General features: G+C 39.4%; 1 protein-coding gene across 36 annotated transcripts in view; it reads left to right on the forward strand.

The window, feature by feature from the left end:
- PDK1 (pyruvate dehydrogenase kinase 1) overlaps nt 1-13,206 on the forward strand; it is a 168,940-nt gene that overhangs the window by 1,163 nt on the left and 154,571 nt on the right. For 14 of the 36 annotated variants that reach the window (XR_007076395.1, XR_007076394.1, XR_922944.3 and 11 more), the window contains exons 2-8: nt 2,173-2,314; nt 5,685-5,756; nt 6,206-6,265; nt 7,968-8,152; nt 8,443-8,538; nt 10,321-10,398; nt 12,206-12,282. Coding sequence is in view for 12 of the 36 variants with exons in the window: in NM_001278549.2 (NP_001265478.1) it covers nt 2,173-2,314; nt 5,685-5,756; nt 6,206-6,265; nt 7,968-8,152; nt 8,443-8,538; nt 10,321-10,398; nt 12,206-12,282 (710 nt within the window). In the remaining 24 variants the exon portion in view is untranslated. Of the gene's footprint in view, nt 1-253; nt 340-1,687; nt 2,019-2,172; nt 2,315-5,684; nt 5,757-6,205; nt 6,266-7,575; nt 7,596-7,967; nt 8,153-8,442; nt 8,539-10,320; nt 10,399-10,664; nt 11,488-12,205; nt 12,283-13,206 lie in introns of those variants that run through there. The other 22 variants (NR_103731.1, XR_007076402.1, XR_001738774.3 and 19 more) reach the window with 9 other exon arrangements.

The following is a 13,206-nucleotide window of genomic DNA, read 5'->3' on the forward strand; positions in this document are numbered from 1 at the left end:
AATAACGGTGGGCGTGTGGCTTTGACCGTATTGTTGAAAACAAACCAGCTGGGCCGCGGGACGACCTCCCGCCTCCCGGCGCACGTGTGCAGGTGCGCGCTAGGCCAGGCCCCTTCCAAGGAGTCGGACCCGGGTGGGAGGCCGAGCGTGGGCACCCCCGAGAATCGCGTTTGGATTCCGTGCAGTGATGATGAATGCCCAGTTTTGCATATGATGATTGCATAGAATTGGCGTGATAATAGGGAAGGCAGATTATAACTGGCCCAGGGTTTCTTAGAATGTTTTCCTTGCCAGTGGCTTAAAACTGTTGGCACCAACAGCACATTTCATCATCAGCAAGTAAGTCTTGGGCACGTGTTGAGTGCATGAGGACAAGATGCTGTGAAGTTTATTTACCACATTATCTTGGTTTTCTCTAGAAGCTGTTCAACAAATTGCAGAAGGAATTGCATAGTTAGGCATTTTAACTTTTACATCCCACTTCCCATGTGAAGGCGATGAGGGGAAAAGGGAAAACCTTAATGAATTCATAAAATTTGAGTACAAAGGTTATCTTCTGCATTGTGACTTCTGCATTGAACGATACCTGCATGGTTGGCAACTTTGTCTTAAAACTGTGGTTTGTAGTGGCATAATTTTTGGCTCAAAGCCTTAGGTTTTTGTTTTTACTTTAAAATGACCCTAGTTCGAGGAAGGGGCGAATTTGGTGGTATTCATGAGTATGCCATAAAACTTTTACAAGCTGTTTTCCTTTAGTACCTTAATTTCTACTGTTGACAATCTAGTTTTTGCTAACGTTTTCTCTTCTAAAGCAGCAAGAATAGTAAGTTTAAAATGCATTACTGGAATAATAAGACCTTTTAGTTTAATTTTAAATGGAGCTGTTTGCCAAAGGACATTCTACAACGATTCTGCTTAGGGAGTGATATGGGATCCTGATATGGGAGTGTAGAGGGGTCAGGAGACTTTCAGTAACCAGACAATTGAATAGGACCTACTTGAAGATGGTGCAAACAGGCAGTGGTGAATTTTGCTGTTGCTTGAAAGCTTTCCTCTGCACTTACTCTTTTTTCCCGTGTGTGTGTGTGTGTGTGTGTGTGTGTGTGTGTGTATTTTTTTTTAAAAATAGAAATGGGGTCTCACTATGTTGCCCAGGCTGGTCTCAAACTCCTGGGCTCAAGCCATCCTCCCACCTCGGCCTCCCAAAGTGATGATAGGTGTGAGCCACCATGCCCGGACTGCACTTAATCTTTGCTTATGGTAATTAGCATTAGTGGTTCTATATGGAATCAGTGAGTCTTCCTATGCAAACATCAAAATTTTCCTCTTTCTTTTGAGACAGGGTTTTACTCTGTCACCCAGGCTGGAGTGCAGTGGTGCTATCATAGCTCACTGTAACCTCAAATTTCAGCCTGAGCCTCCCAAGCCTAGAACTACCGGCAAGCACCACCACGCCCGGCTATTTTTTATTTTCTGTATATGTGAGGTCTCATTGTGTTGCCCAGGCTGGTCCTGAACCGCTGGGCTCAAACAGTCCTCAAGCCTCGGCCTCGCAAAGTGCTGGGATTATAGGCGTGAACCACTGTGCCTGGCCTCCTGTTTTTAATTTATTTTTTTAAGGCTGGTCAAGTTAAGCAGTGGGAGTGGAGAAGGAACAAAGAAATCTGTAACCGGTTGTGATCAATTAGTTGTAAATACCACTGCATTCGGACCAGCTTAAAGTTTCTGTTTCTTAGACAGGCACTTACTGTTTTTAAACCTAGAGTTAGATAACAGATTTTCTAAATGATAGCAGCAACGGGGTGTACAGGATAGACTTTTCCAGGTTCTGCTGTTAATTTTATAAAGCCTTGCTCAGACATGCTCAGGTTACCTAACTTCTAAAATGGGTGATCACTTTAAGGATGCAAATTAGGGAGACAAGAGTATCGTAATTGCTGTACAGAGCCATTGGAATGTCAGTAATTGGAAGGTCATAACTCTGGAGACTGGGTTATCTCATCCCTCGCCTCCCACAGGCAGGTGTATCTTTGCCTCCTATTCCCTGCCCCATCGTGGTGATTCTATCCCTCTGGCCTTGCCGGATAACTTCCTCTCTATTTCTCTCAGCCTCTTGCCTTCTGTTTCCTTATGGCTTTTACTTACTGCTTTACCCATCATGTTTGGTTTCAGGATCAGTGAATGCTTGTGAAAAGACCTCATTTATGTTTCTGCGGCAAGAGTTGCCTGTCAGACTGGCAAATATAATGAAAGAAATAAGTCTCCTTCCAGATAATCTTCTCAGGACACCATCCGTTCAATTGGTACAAAGCTGGTAAGATTCTCATCTTGTGTTTGCAATTTGATGGAGTTGTGGACTTTATTCAAGGTTACAGCAAATGCTTTTTTTTACTCTTTGGTGGAATCTTTTTTGTTTTGTTTTGTTTTGTTTGAGACGGAGTCTTGCTCTGTCGCCCAGGCTGGAGTGCAGTGGCGCGATCTTGCCTCACTGCAAGCTCCGCCTCCCGGGTTCAGGCGATTCTCCTGCCTCAGCCTCCCGAGTAACTGGGATTACAGGCACGTGCCACCACGCCCAGCTAATTTTTGTATTTTTAGTAGAGACAGGGTTTCACCATGTTGGCCAGGATGATCTCGGTCTCCTGAACTCGTGATCCACCCACCTTGGCCTCCCAAAGTGCTGGGATTACAGACGTGAGCCACCGTGCCCGACCAGAGTCTTAAGGTAGTAGCAGTATTCTTTTTTTGGCTGGGGGCAGGTGGGGGCAATGTATTTGGGCTTGTGCCCTGAATCGTGGACTCCACAACTTCTTGATTTTGAGAAAGCCAGTCAAAACTGCACTGAAATACAGATGCTAAATTTAGGATTTATGTTAGTATATCTTCAAGGATATTATAAGAAAAAATGTCTGCAATTTGTTGATGACTGGGTATTTATGTATATTGCCTTTAATCCCTTCAACAACCTTGCACAGTGGGTATGATTCTCTCCATTTTATTCATTGTTATTATTTTTATTTACTTTTTGTTTTTGAAATGGAATCTTGCTCTGTTGCCCAGGCTGGAGTGCAATGGCATGATCTTGGCTCACTGCAACCTCTGCCTCCTGGGTTCAAGTGATTCTCCTGCCTCAGCCTCCAGAGTAGCTGGGATTACAGGCACCTGCCACCATGCCTGGCTAATTTTTGTATTTTTAGTAGAAATAGAGGTTTCACCATGTTGGCCAGGCTGGTCTCAAGCTCCTGACCTCAGGTGATCCTCCCACCTTGGCTTCCCAAAGTGCTGGGATTACAGGCATGAGCCACCACTCCTGGCCTACTTATTTTTTTGAGACAGGTTCTTACTCTGTCACCCAGGTTGGAGTGCAGTGGTGATCACAGCTCAGCTCACTGCAACCTCCACCTCCCTGGCTCAGGTGATCCTCCCACCTCGGCCTCCTGAGTAGCTGGGACCACAAGTGCATGCCACACCCAGCTAATTTTTGTATTTTTTAGCAGAGATGGGGTTTTTCCATGTTGCCTACGCTGGCCTCAAACTCCGGAGGTCAAGGTATTTGCCCACCTGGGCCTCTCAAAGTGCAGGGATTATGGGCATGAGCCATTGTGTCTAGCCTGTTTATTATTTTTTAAATTAATTTATTTTCTTTTTAGAGACAGGGTCTCCATCACCCAGGCTAGAGTGCAGTAGTGTGATCATGGCTCACTGCAGTCTTGACCTCCTGGGGTCAAGAGATTCTCCTGCTAAGGCAGCTGCCTCCCGAGCAGCTGGGACCACAGCCATGCGCCACCATACCTGACCAATTCTTTTATTTTTTTGTAGAGATGGGGGTCTCACTTTTTTGCCCAGGCAGGTTGTGAACTCCTGGGCTCAAGCAGTCCTCTCACCTTGGCTTCACAAAGTGTTGGTATTACAGACATGAGCCACCGCACCTGGCAGGTTAACTCTGTACAGATGAGGATGCTGAGGCACATAAAGGTTAAATCTTTTGCGTAAGACAGTACCATTGATAGTGGAGTTGGGATTCAAACCCCCATTTGTCCATCTCTGCTATACCGTGCTATAGTCAGAATGATGAAATATATGAAAGGATATATGTATTTTTAATAAACTGTGTTTATTGAAGGGTATCTTTTTATAAATTACAAAAGTTAAAATGTTTATTTTTCTGTTTTAAAACAATTAGAAGTTTTTGGAATTGTGTAGAAAAAGTGTGATCTCTTCCCAAAGATAAGTAGAGATGTTAAGGGTATACACTCATGGAGCCACCTATATACAGCCTTCATTAATGTTACTGATTTAAAAGTGTTGTTCTTTTAAGCACTGTATGCTTCAAACAAATGAGTTGCCCAGAGTTAAGTCTTAAATGGAAAAGGTTTAGCTGCAGGGCATTTCCCAGTTATGATTCATGGAGATTCAAGTTTTCTTTTTGTAAGCATTATAGCGTATGGGAGAAGTTGATCTAATCGCAATTTAAAAAAGCAAAATATGACTGCTATATATATGATAATCAGATGCTATCTAGTCCAAGTATGGAATAGTTATAAGTGTGGATTAAATGGGAAGCATTTGTTTAGTAATTATGATGGGATATAATGGAGAAAATATAATATTCCATGGAAGATTTTTCCTGTTTTTAAAAAATTCTTCATTAGAAGTAGAATATGCTGCTTTTTGAAGCTTATCAGTCATGAGGTCTGATCGGTGCCTGTTGTAGGTACTCAAATATCTCTTGGATGGAGAGCGTAGTTGTTCTTGCCAATTAAGAGGAAATTAAGGGTTAAAGCAAAGCAGCAGCTGCTATCAGAATCCCTTAACTTTGGAATGCAGTAAGACATATTGCTTGTCAGAAACAGCTTTCCAAACCAACAGATGGAATTACAGGTTTTTAAAGCACTTCCATTGCTCCTAGATGCCTGCTAAGTTAGGACAGTTGCAGATAAAGTGCTTACAGCCAAGTGGAGCAGATCCCTTACACTGTCGAAGAAAGTAATTCAGTGGTAGCAAGTTATTTTTAGCTCTGGCCCCGCAGTGCCATTGTACTTGCCTGCAAGACCATCAGAAAATCATTTGGCCTTCTCTATTTTGCTCATTCCTTAACAGATGCTTTGATACTTCGAATTGTTAGATAAATTTAAAATGTACATTTTTATGACTTTTGTGTTTTTTGTTCAGTTTAAAAGAACCATGTAGATTATAGGCTTTCAATAAATACTTGTTAGTTGGACATAAATATGTAAAATTAAGGTTTTAAAGCACAGATATTTAAGATACAGTCTTAGAGCAAGAGAGGCTGTCCTCCTTTTACTGATAATAAGACAAATTAAGTCATTTGCCCAAGATCACATAGTTACTGGTGACAGATCTCAGCATAATCAGTATATATACTGTAATGTACAGTGGTAAATTAAAAAAAAATTAAAAGCCATTTTAGAATGTAGAACTCGGAAAATCTTAAAATTCTTAAATTTGACCTTTGCTTTTAGGAGAAAATGTGCACCTTCTACCATTCATTCCCAGCACTTTGCTTGAATGTGCATGGGTGTAAAAATTATACTTCAACCATAATTTATAGCAGTATTCTAAATTAAAAATTATAAAATGCTAAAAATAGCTTTTGAGCTAATTTTCATGATATTGAACTTTCAGAATATAAAAGAACAAACTTATCCTATTGATCTGCATTTTAGGTATATCCAGAGTCTTCAGGAGCTTCTTGATTTTAAGGACAAAAGTGCTGAGGATGCTAAAGCTATTTATGAGTAAGTTCACTATTTTGACCCTATTCTTAAACCTATTATTAGGTCACTTGGGGGAAATTGGTTAACTTTTAGGTTTCTACTACTTTAGAACATGTGATATATGTGACTGTAGCAGCCCATACAGGCAGGACAAATAACAATCAGCAAATTTGACTAGGCATAAGAAATGCTTCGTGTTCCTCTTTAACAAAAGACAAAGTTCAGGTGTGATGATCAGTGGAAATGTAGGTGTGGCCTCAGTGCCAGTTGGACTGTTCACCTGGAGGGTGCATGCTCCTTCTAATGGACAACCACCTTCAGCCCCAGCTGATCTTTGCCATATGAAAATACTGCCCATATCATCTGATTGTTTTCTGATTTTAAAGGAAAGCTACAAGTCTAGATTTGTAATGTAAAATCTCTCACTTTTGAAAGATTGGTAACTAATTAAAACATTTTTTAAAACACAGAAGGCCTAGAAGAACATGGTTGCAGGTCTCTAGTTTATGCTGTATGGCCTGCAAGATGATGTAAGTAATATGACAATGTTAATAACCCATATACCAGAATTGGTAAACCAAAGTATTTGCCTTATGCAGCTACCTGCTTATTGCAGTGAAGGGTACTGAGAGTGTAATGACCATCTCTTGTCCTCAGTTAGTTACACATGTTTTTTGGACTGTCTTTAAAGTGAACAGTAACACTTCATTTTTTTAAACATGATTTTAATCTGAAAATAACTTCAGCAAGAGTTTACTCCTTGCTTAGGTATTGAGCAGACTTTACATGAATGATGTTTTTTAATCTTTAAAACAATTCATTGAAATAATGCTGTTTGTGCACAAAGAGGGTAAGTAGTTTAAGGTTACATAGTTAGCAAATGGTAGAATCCAAGCAGTCTTACTTTAAAAGTAAACATTATGTTATAGAGCCTTCTGAAAACAGTCATTCAGAGCTGTGGAAAATAAGTAGTCAAGCAGAATAATACAGATTTGTGTTTCTTTGAAGCAGAAAGAAAATAATAAAGGAGTGACTAGAATGATGAGTTGTTTGTTGTTTTTGAAGAGTTTTGTTGTTTGTATTTTAGTTTAACAGTCTTGTTTTGAAGCGCATTACTAACTAGGAATTCCAAAAATGTTTTAAGCAGTGGAAACATCATTGGAATAAGTTAATAGTACTCAGGATGATGACTTTGAATAGGAAAGCACTCATTTGGAAGTGTAAATTCAGATGGGTTATGTTAGAAAATTGGTTTCGTTACTGCATAATTAAGACTTCTTGGGCCGGGCACGGTGGCTCACGCCTGTAATCCCAGCACTTTGGGAGGCCGAGGCGGGCGGATCGTCTGAGGTCGGGAGTTCGAGACCAGCCTGACCAACATGGAGAAACCCTGTCTCTACTAAAAATACAAAATTAGCCAGGCATCATGGTACATGCCTATAATCCCGGCTACTCAGGAAGGCTGAGGCAGTAGAATCACTTGAACTCGGGAGGTGGAGGTTGCAGTGAGCCGAGATTGCGCCATTGCTCTCCAGCCTGGGCAACAAGAGCAAAATTCCATCTCAAAAAAAAAAAAGACTTATTTTCTCTTTTATTTAGTTATTTAACCATGCAGTGTCTTCTAAGTGACAGAGATGGGAAGACTAGATGATTTGAAGATTTGTCTTTTAATATAATTGTTTACTTTTCCTCTCCCATTTTATAAACTCATAGGATGAGTGAAATGAGAATTCTTTTCTGTTTTTCTGTCCTAAGTGTTTCCTTCTCTCTTTGAACCCTAGGGAATAGGTCCAAAACAGGCAGGCTTTATTGGCTCATTCATCTTGATTCCTTGCAGAGCAGAGCAGGTGTTCTCTAGAGGCAAGTGCTTTGTCTCCTCCTATGCAGAATGTCTCTGGAATACCATCCTCTTAGCCAGTGCTCAGATGACCTTAGTTGATAACAGTTAAAACCATTAACATTTTTTGGATTACGTTTTGTGGCAGCCTTACTCTTAGGAAGCCAAGAAAAGAATTAAATCTTGAAAGTTTTATTTTGGAGGTCTGTATACTTTCATAGATTTGGTATATTTTATGATCTGAAATACATTTAAATAAGTATAGGAAAACATGAACCGATTTTCCTTTTATTAAATTGGGGATTTTTTGTCTAGCATAGTTGGTTAAGCTTATATTTTTGTATTAAGTTTACTTGTCAAAATATTTGGCTGTTTTGACAGATGGGTTTGTTTAGCTTTACAGATACTGTGATACGGATCAGAAACCGACACAATGATGTCATTCCCACAATGGCCCAGGGTGTGATTGAATACAAGGAGAGCTTTGGGGTGGATCCTGTCACCAGCCAGAATGTTCAGTACTTTTTGGATCGATTCTACATGAGTCGCATTTCAATTAGAATGTTACTCAATCAGCACTGTAAGTGTCCCTCATGAGTCAAGAGAAGAAGCTAAATGAGATGTGTTGGCATATTTTAAATTTATTTAGGAAAGTTCCATTTAGGTAGGAAATTTAGTTTTACCTTTTGGCTAATTAAGAAAAATAAATAGACTGCCATCAAGAAAGGTGTTTTTATTGAATGTAAAATACTATGTTTATCCTAAAGGAAAATATTTGTTCTGTTTGGTACAATTTAAACAGTATTCAGATTTGGAAAAGAGCATTAGGTGGTTTAGCTTATTTTGTTGGTTTTTTTCCTTTTTGGATAGCTTTATTGTTTGGTGGAAAAGGCAAAGGAAGTCCATCTCATCGAAAACACATTGGAAGCATAAATCCAAACTGCAATGTACTTGAAGTTATTAAAGGTAAATACTGACATTTCTCCTTGCAAAAAAAGATACAAAAATCAAAATTATTGTTATTTCTTACTATTAAAACATCTATTTGTATCATGAGATAAAATGGTAGGCACAAATGCATGGGTTTGAAAATAACCTTATAGTATTATTTGTGCATTATGTATAGGATGACTATTTTATTGATAGAATTATTTGTTAGGCAAAGTTTGGTGATACTATAGAGGATATCTTTTTTGTTTTGTTTTGTTTTGTTTGAGACAGAGTCTCACTCTGTTGCCCAGGCTGGAGTGCAGTGGTGTGATCTCAGCTCACTGCAGCCTCTGCCTCCTGAGTTCAAGCGATTGTCTTGCCTCAGCCTCCCCAGTAGCCGGGATTACAGATGCTCAACACTACGCCTGGCTAATTTTTGTATCTTTAGTGCAGGCAGGGTTTTACCATGTTGGCCAGGCTGGTCTGGAACTCCTGCCTGCCTGCCTGCCTGCCTCGGCCTCCCAAAGAGCTGGGATTACAGGCGTGAGCCACCGAGCCCAGCTGAGGGTATCTTTCACTTAAAAAAGAATTGAAGTCCCTACTGCCCTGTTTCTAATTCTTACACTATGAGCAGTAATTCATAACAATTTGGTTTGAATCATTTCACACTTTTTTCTATTTATACCACTTGTACACATACACAATTGATGTTGGTCTTACATTGTTGTTTTTAGAAAATGGGGTGCTCTATGTTTTTTTCTACAAGTTTACAGACATCTTGCTGTTCAGTACATCTGGATATGCTCCAAGGTTTTGAATGGCTCTATGGAATGTATCAGTATGTGTTAATTAATTCTCCTGTTCATGCACACTTAGGTTGTTTTAATTTTTTTCTGTTACCACCAATACCAGCAGTACTGCTGTGAACATCCTTAAATACACGCTCACTTTTGCTAGTATTTTAGAGGTGAGATTCCTAGAATTAAAAACATTTAAATGCATATAAAATTTTGGTATCTCCAAAAAGGTTTCAAACAATGGATAAGAGTGTTTCCTAACCAACTCTTAAGTTTTGTTACATAGATAGCAATTATTTTCTCCAGCCTGTTATTTTTCTTTTTTACATTGTTGGTGTCTTTTTAGCATATAGACTTTTACATTTTTTTTGTAGTTATATTTGTCATTCATTGTTTATGGCTATTCAGCTTTGTCATGTCACACTTAGACTTTCCCTGGGCCAGGCACAGTGGCTCATGCCTATAATCCCAGCACTTTGGAAGGCTGAAGCGGGTGGATCACCTGAGGTCAGGAGTTCGAGACCAGCCTGGCCAACATGGTGAAACCCCCTCTGTACTGAAAATACAAAAATTAGCTGGGCGTGGTGACCCATGCCTACGTAGTCCCAGCTACTTGGGAGGCTGAGGCAGGAGAATCGCTTGAACCAGGGAGGTGGAGGCTGCAGTGAGCCGAGATAGCGCCACTGCACTCCAGCCTGGTTGATCGAGACTCCGTCTCAAAGGAAAAAAAAAAAGGAAAGGCTTTCCCTGGTTGGGGGCAGTGGTTCATGCCTGTAATCCTAGCACCAAGGCAGGAGGATGGCTTGAGCCTGGGAGTTGGAGACAAACCTGAGCAATATAGGGAGACCATGTCTCTACCAAAAAAAAAAAAAAAAAAAGCAGACTTTCACCAAACTATCAAAGTATATTTTCTTCTGTAGAGAGTTCAAGACTTTGATTTGTCAATACCATTGCCATCTTAATGCGTGAAAGAGAAGTATATTTATTAAATCCTTTTTTGTTTTGTTTTGATTCACACTAGATGGCTATGAAAATGCTAGGCGTCTGTGTGATTTGTATTATATTAACTCTCCCGAACTAGAACTTGAAGAACTAAATGGTAAGCCTGATGTTGTCTTTTTCTCAATAATTAGTGCTTTGATTACTTGATAAGGGATAAGAATTTAAATGTTTTAATGGAAGATGACTTTTTATCAACTTCGTTGGATATGAAGGCTAAAGGATAGTAATCATGTAAAAAATATATCTATAAACATATGTAATTTAGTCAGATTCTTTATGAAAAGATTTGGCTTTTTGTATCACATTTTCTTTATTTTTAATTGATAACTTTGATTCTTTGCTTATTTTTTATTTTCTGTTTAGTCATAGAAAGAAAATGATACCAAGAAAGTTACATTTGACTTTTACATGCACTTCACTAATGTAAGACTTACCCTTTTTCTACTTCCTGAGTTGTAAATAATTTTCTGTTGTTGAGGACATAGACTGGGGTTATAAAAGAGGAAAGAAAGATGCTCATCTATTTGAGAATCTGTTTGTCTCTGATGGTTTTCTTTTTACCCTGATTAGTGCCTTTTGGACAAAAAGGGTTTAGATGCCTTGAAGAGGGATTGATGAGTCTCTTTTTCCTGAAAGCATGGTAGTTTGACAGAAAAAAGCATTTCCTAAGATGACACTTTAAGAAGGTGTGGGAAGAATAAAACAAAATAGGCTTTTACTAAGCTGTATTCTGGACCTTAGAGTGAGAGAGCAGTGAAGTTATGCAATTGAAAATAGCATTGCTTGGTGATTTTCTAAAGCCATATTAACTCTTTTGAGCCATGATGGTAGCATAGCATTTGGTAAATAACAATCACAGTGTACAAGTAAGTGATAGTTTGCAAACCTGAACTGCTGTGAGCAATTTCCAGATGTCCCATTTTTGTTCCCAAGGGGGAGTTTATTCAGAGGAAGGTCTGATTTATTGGTTGAATTAGAATTCTAAGATATCATGAGTCTTAATCATTTGTTCTACTAAATGTCTGTTTTATACACACCCCTATCACCACCCCCAGTGGGGCTCCTATTAAGTGTTTAAATGTAGAATTAATTACTGTCTCGAGAAATTGATGCTAGCTCATATTTTTTATTCAGCTTTATATCCATCGAAATGCCTGAAATAAAACAATATTCCACCCAGGTGAAACATTTTGAAAATGGCTTAAAGAATGTATGGGCTGGGCGCAGTGGCTCACATCTATAATCCCAGCACTTTGGGAGGCCGAGGCGGGTGGCTCACAAGGTCAGGAGTTCGAGACAAGCCTGGCCAATATGGTGAAACCCGTCTCTACTAAAAGAAAAATCAGCCAGGCGTGGTGGTTGGCGCCTGTAATCCCAGCTACTCGGGAGGCTGAGGCAGGAGAATTGCTTGAACCTGGGAAGTGGAGGTTGCAGTGAGCCAAGATCGCGCCACTGCACTCCAGTCTGGGCAACAGAGCAAGACTCCGTCTCAAAAAAAAAAAAAAAAAAAAAAAGAAGAAGAAGAATGTATGCATGCATGTGAATTGGACTGTGGAATTTAAAGATTTTAACACTTCTCTATTTGGAAAGTAAAATTCCTACCCGAAAGTTAAGCGATCTTAAAAAAGACTTTACCATCCTAGAGAAAAATGGGCGCATGGGTTGGTTCGATTGTGATGCAAGATTGTGAGAAGTGACCACAGGACTCTTGTCATCATCAGTTGTAAATATTTGTGGGTATGGGTTCAAACACTAATACATTGAAGAAATGGTGTGGCAGTTCTCCCCCAGGTAATACTGTCCTCCGTAGTTAATGTTTTCTTTTCATCACTACACAGTTTATTCTTAAAAATGCTTTAAGCACATCTCTCTGTACTTTCATATTTTTCTCTTCTGCTCTGTAGCAAAATCACCAGGACAGCCAATACAAGTGGTTTATGTACCATCCCATCTCTATCACATGGTGTTTGAACTTTTCAAGGTTTGTAAAATAGTATTACATAACCTTTACCAGTACTTTTCTGAGGTTAGGAATCTGCTCTGAAAGCCAAATATTCCACTAGGTTCTCCTATTAAGAAGTGCCATTTCACATCAGTATCATATCACATTGCTGGAGATCAGCTTTTTATCAACACAGGGAGACATCTCCATGTAGTGGTGAGCTCAGACTATGGAGTCAGAAAGACCTGGGTTTGAATCCCAATTATGGCTCTTAATATGTGTGTGACCTTGGGCAAGTCACTCAACCTCTCTGAGCCTCAGTTTCCTTTTCTGTAAAACAAGAATACTGTCCAGGATTGTTTATGACTATTGGGAATAACATACTAAGTGTCCAGTACAGTGGCAACGTATTACATATAGGTGCTCAATAGAGTTATCTTTATGTTTTTATAAAACAATATTTAGAAGAGTGATTCTCAACTTGCTACCCTCAAAGGACCAGAATTCTTTTTTTGGTCTGGCTTTTCTTGGGAGGGGGAGGTCATTTATATTGACTTACAGGGTTTCTGCTGTAATCTTTGCTCTTTACAACAAAATTTGAAAACAAATTATGCTACTAATATTGAGAGTATCTTTTTTCCCCGCCAATAATACTTGCTGGTTGACAAGAAAATGGGTGAGGAGTGAGGGGCACAGGTCCTGGTGGGTGAAAATGATTGCCCTCTATCAGAAGCTTGTAGTCTCTCTTCAGTTGTGTTTCATCAGCCAGCAGCAAACTAGAGGAAAGAGGGGGTGGCTTTCAATCTGATAATGTAAAGGAAAAGTGCACTGAAACACAGAAAAACTGACCGAATATCTTAGAACAGCAGCAGAATGTTCTTTCTTCCAAGACAGCAAAAATGTATTTAATACCTTACAAAATCTTTTTTAAAATATTTATTTTATTTTTTGTAGAGTTGAGGT

This window comes from Homo sapiens, chromosome 2, assembly GCF_000001405.40.
Source record: "Homo sapiens chromosome 2, GRCh38.p14 Primary Assembly".
Classification (NCBI taxonomy): Eukaryota; Metazoa; Chordata; class Mammalia; order Primates; family Hominidae; genus Homo; species Homo sapiens.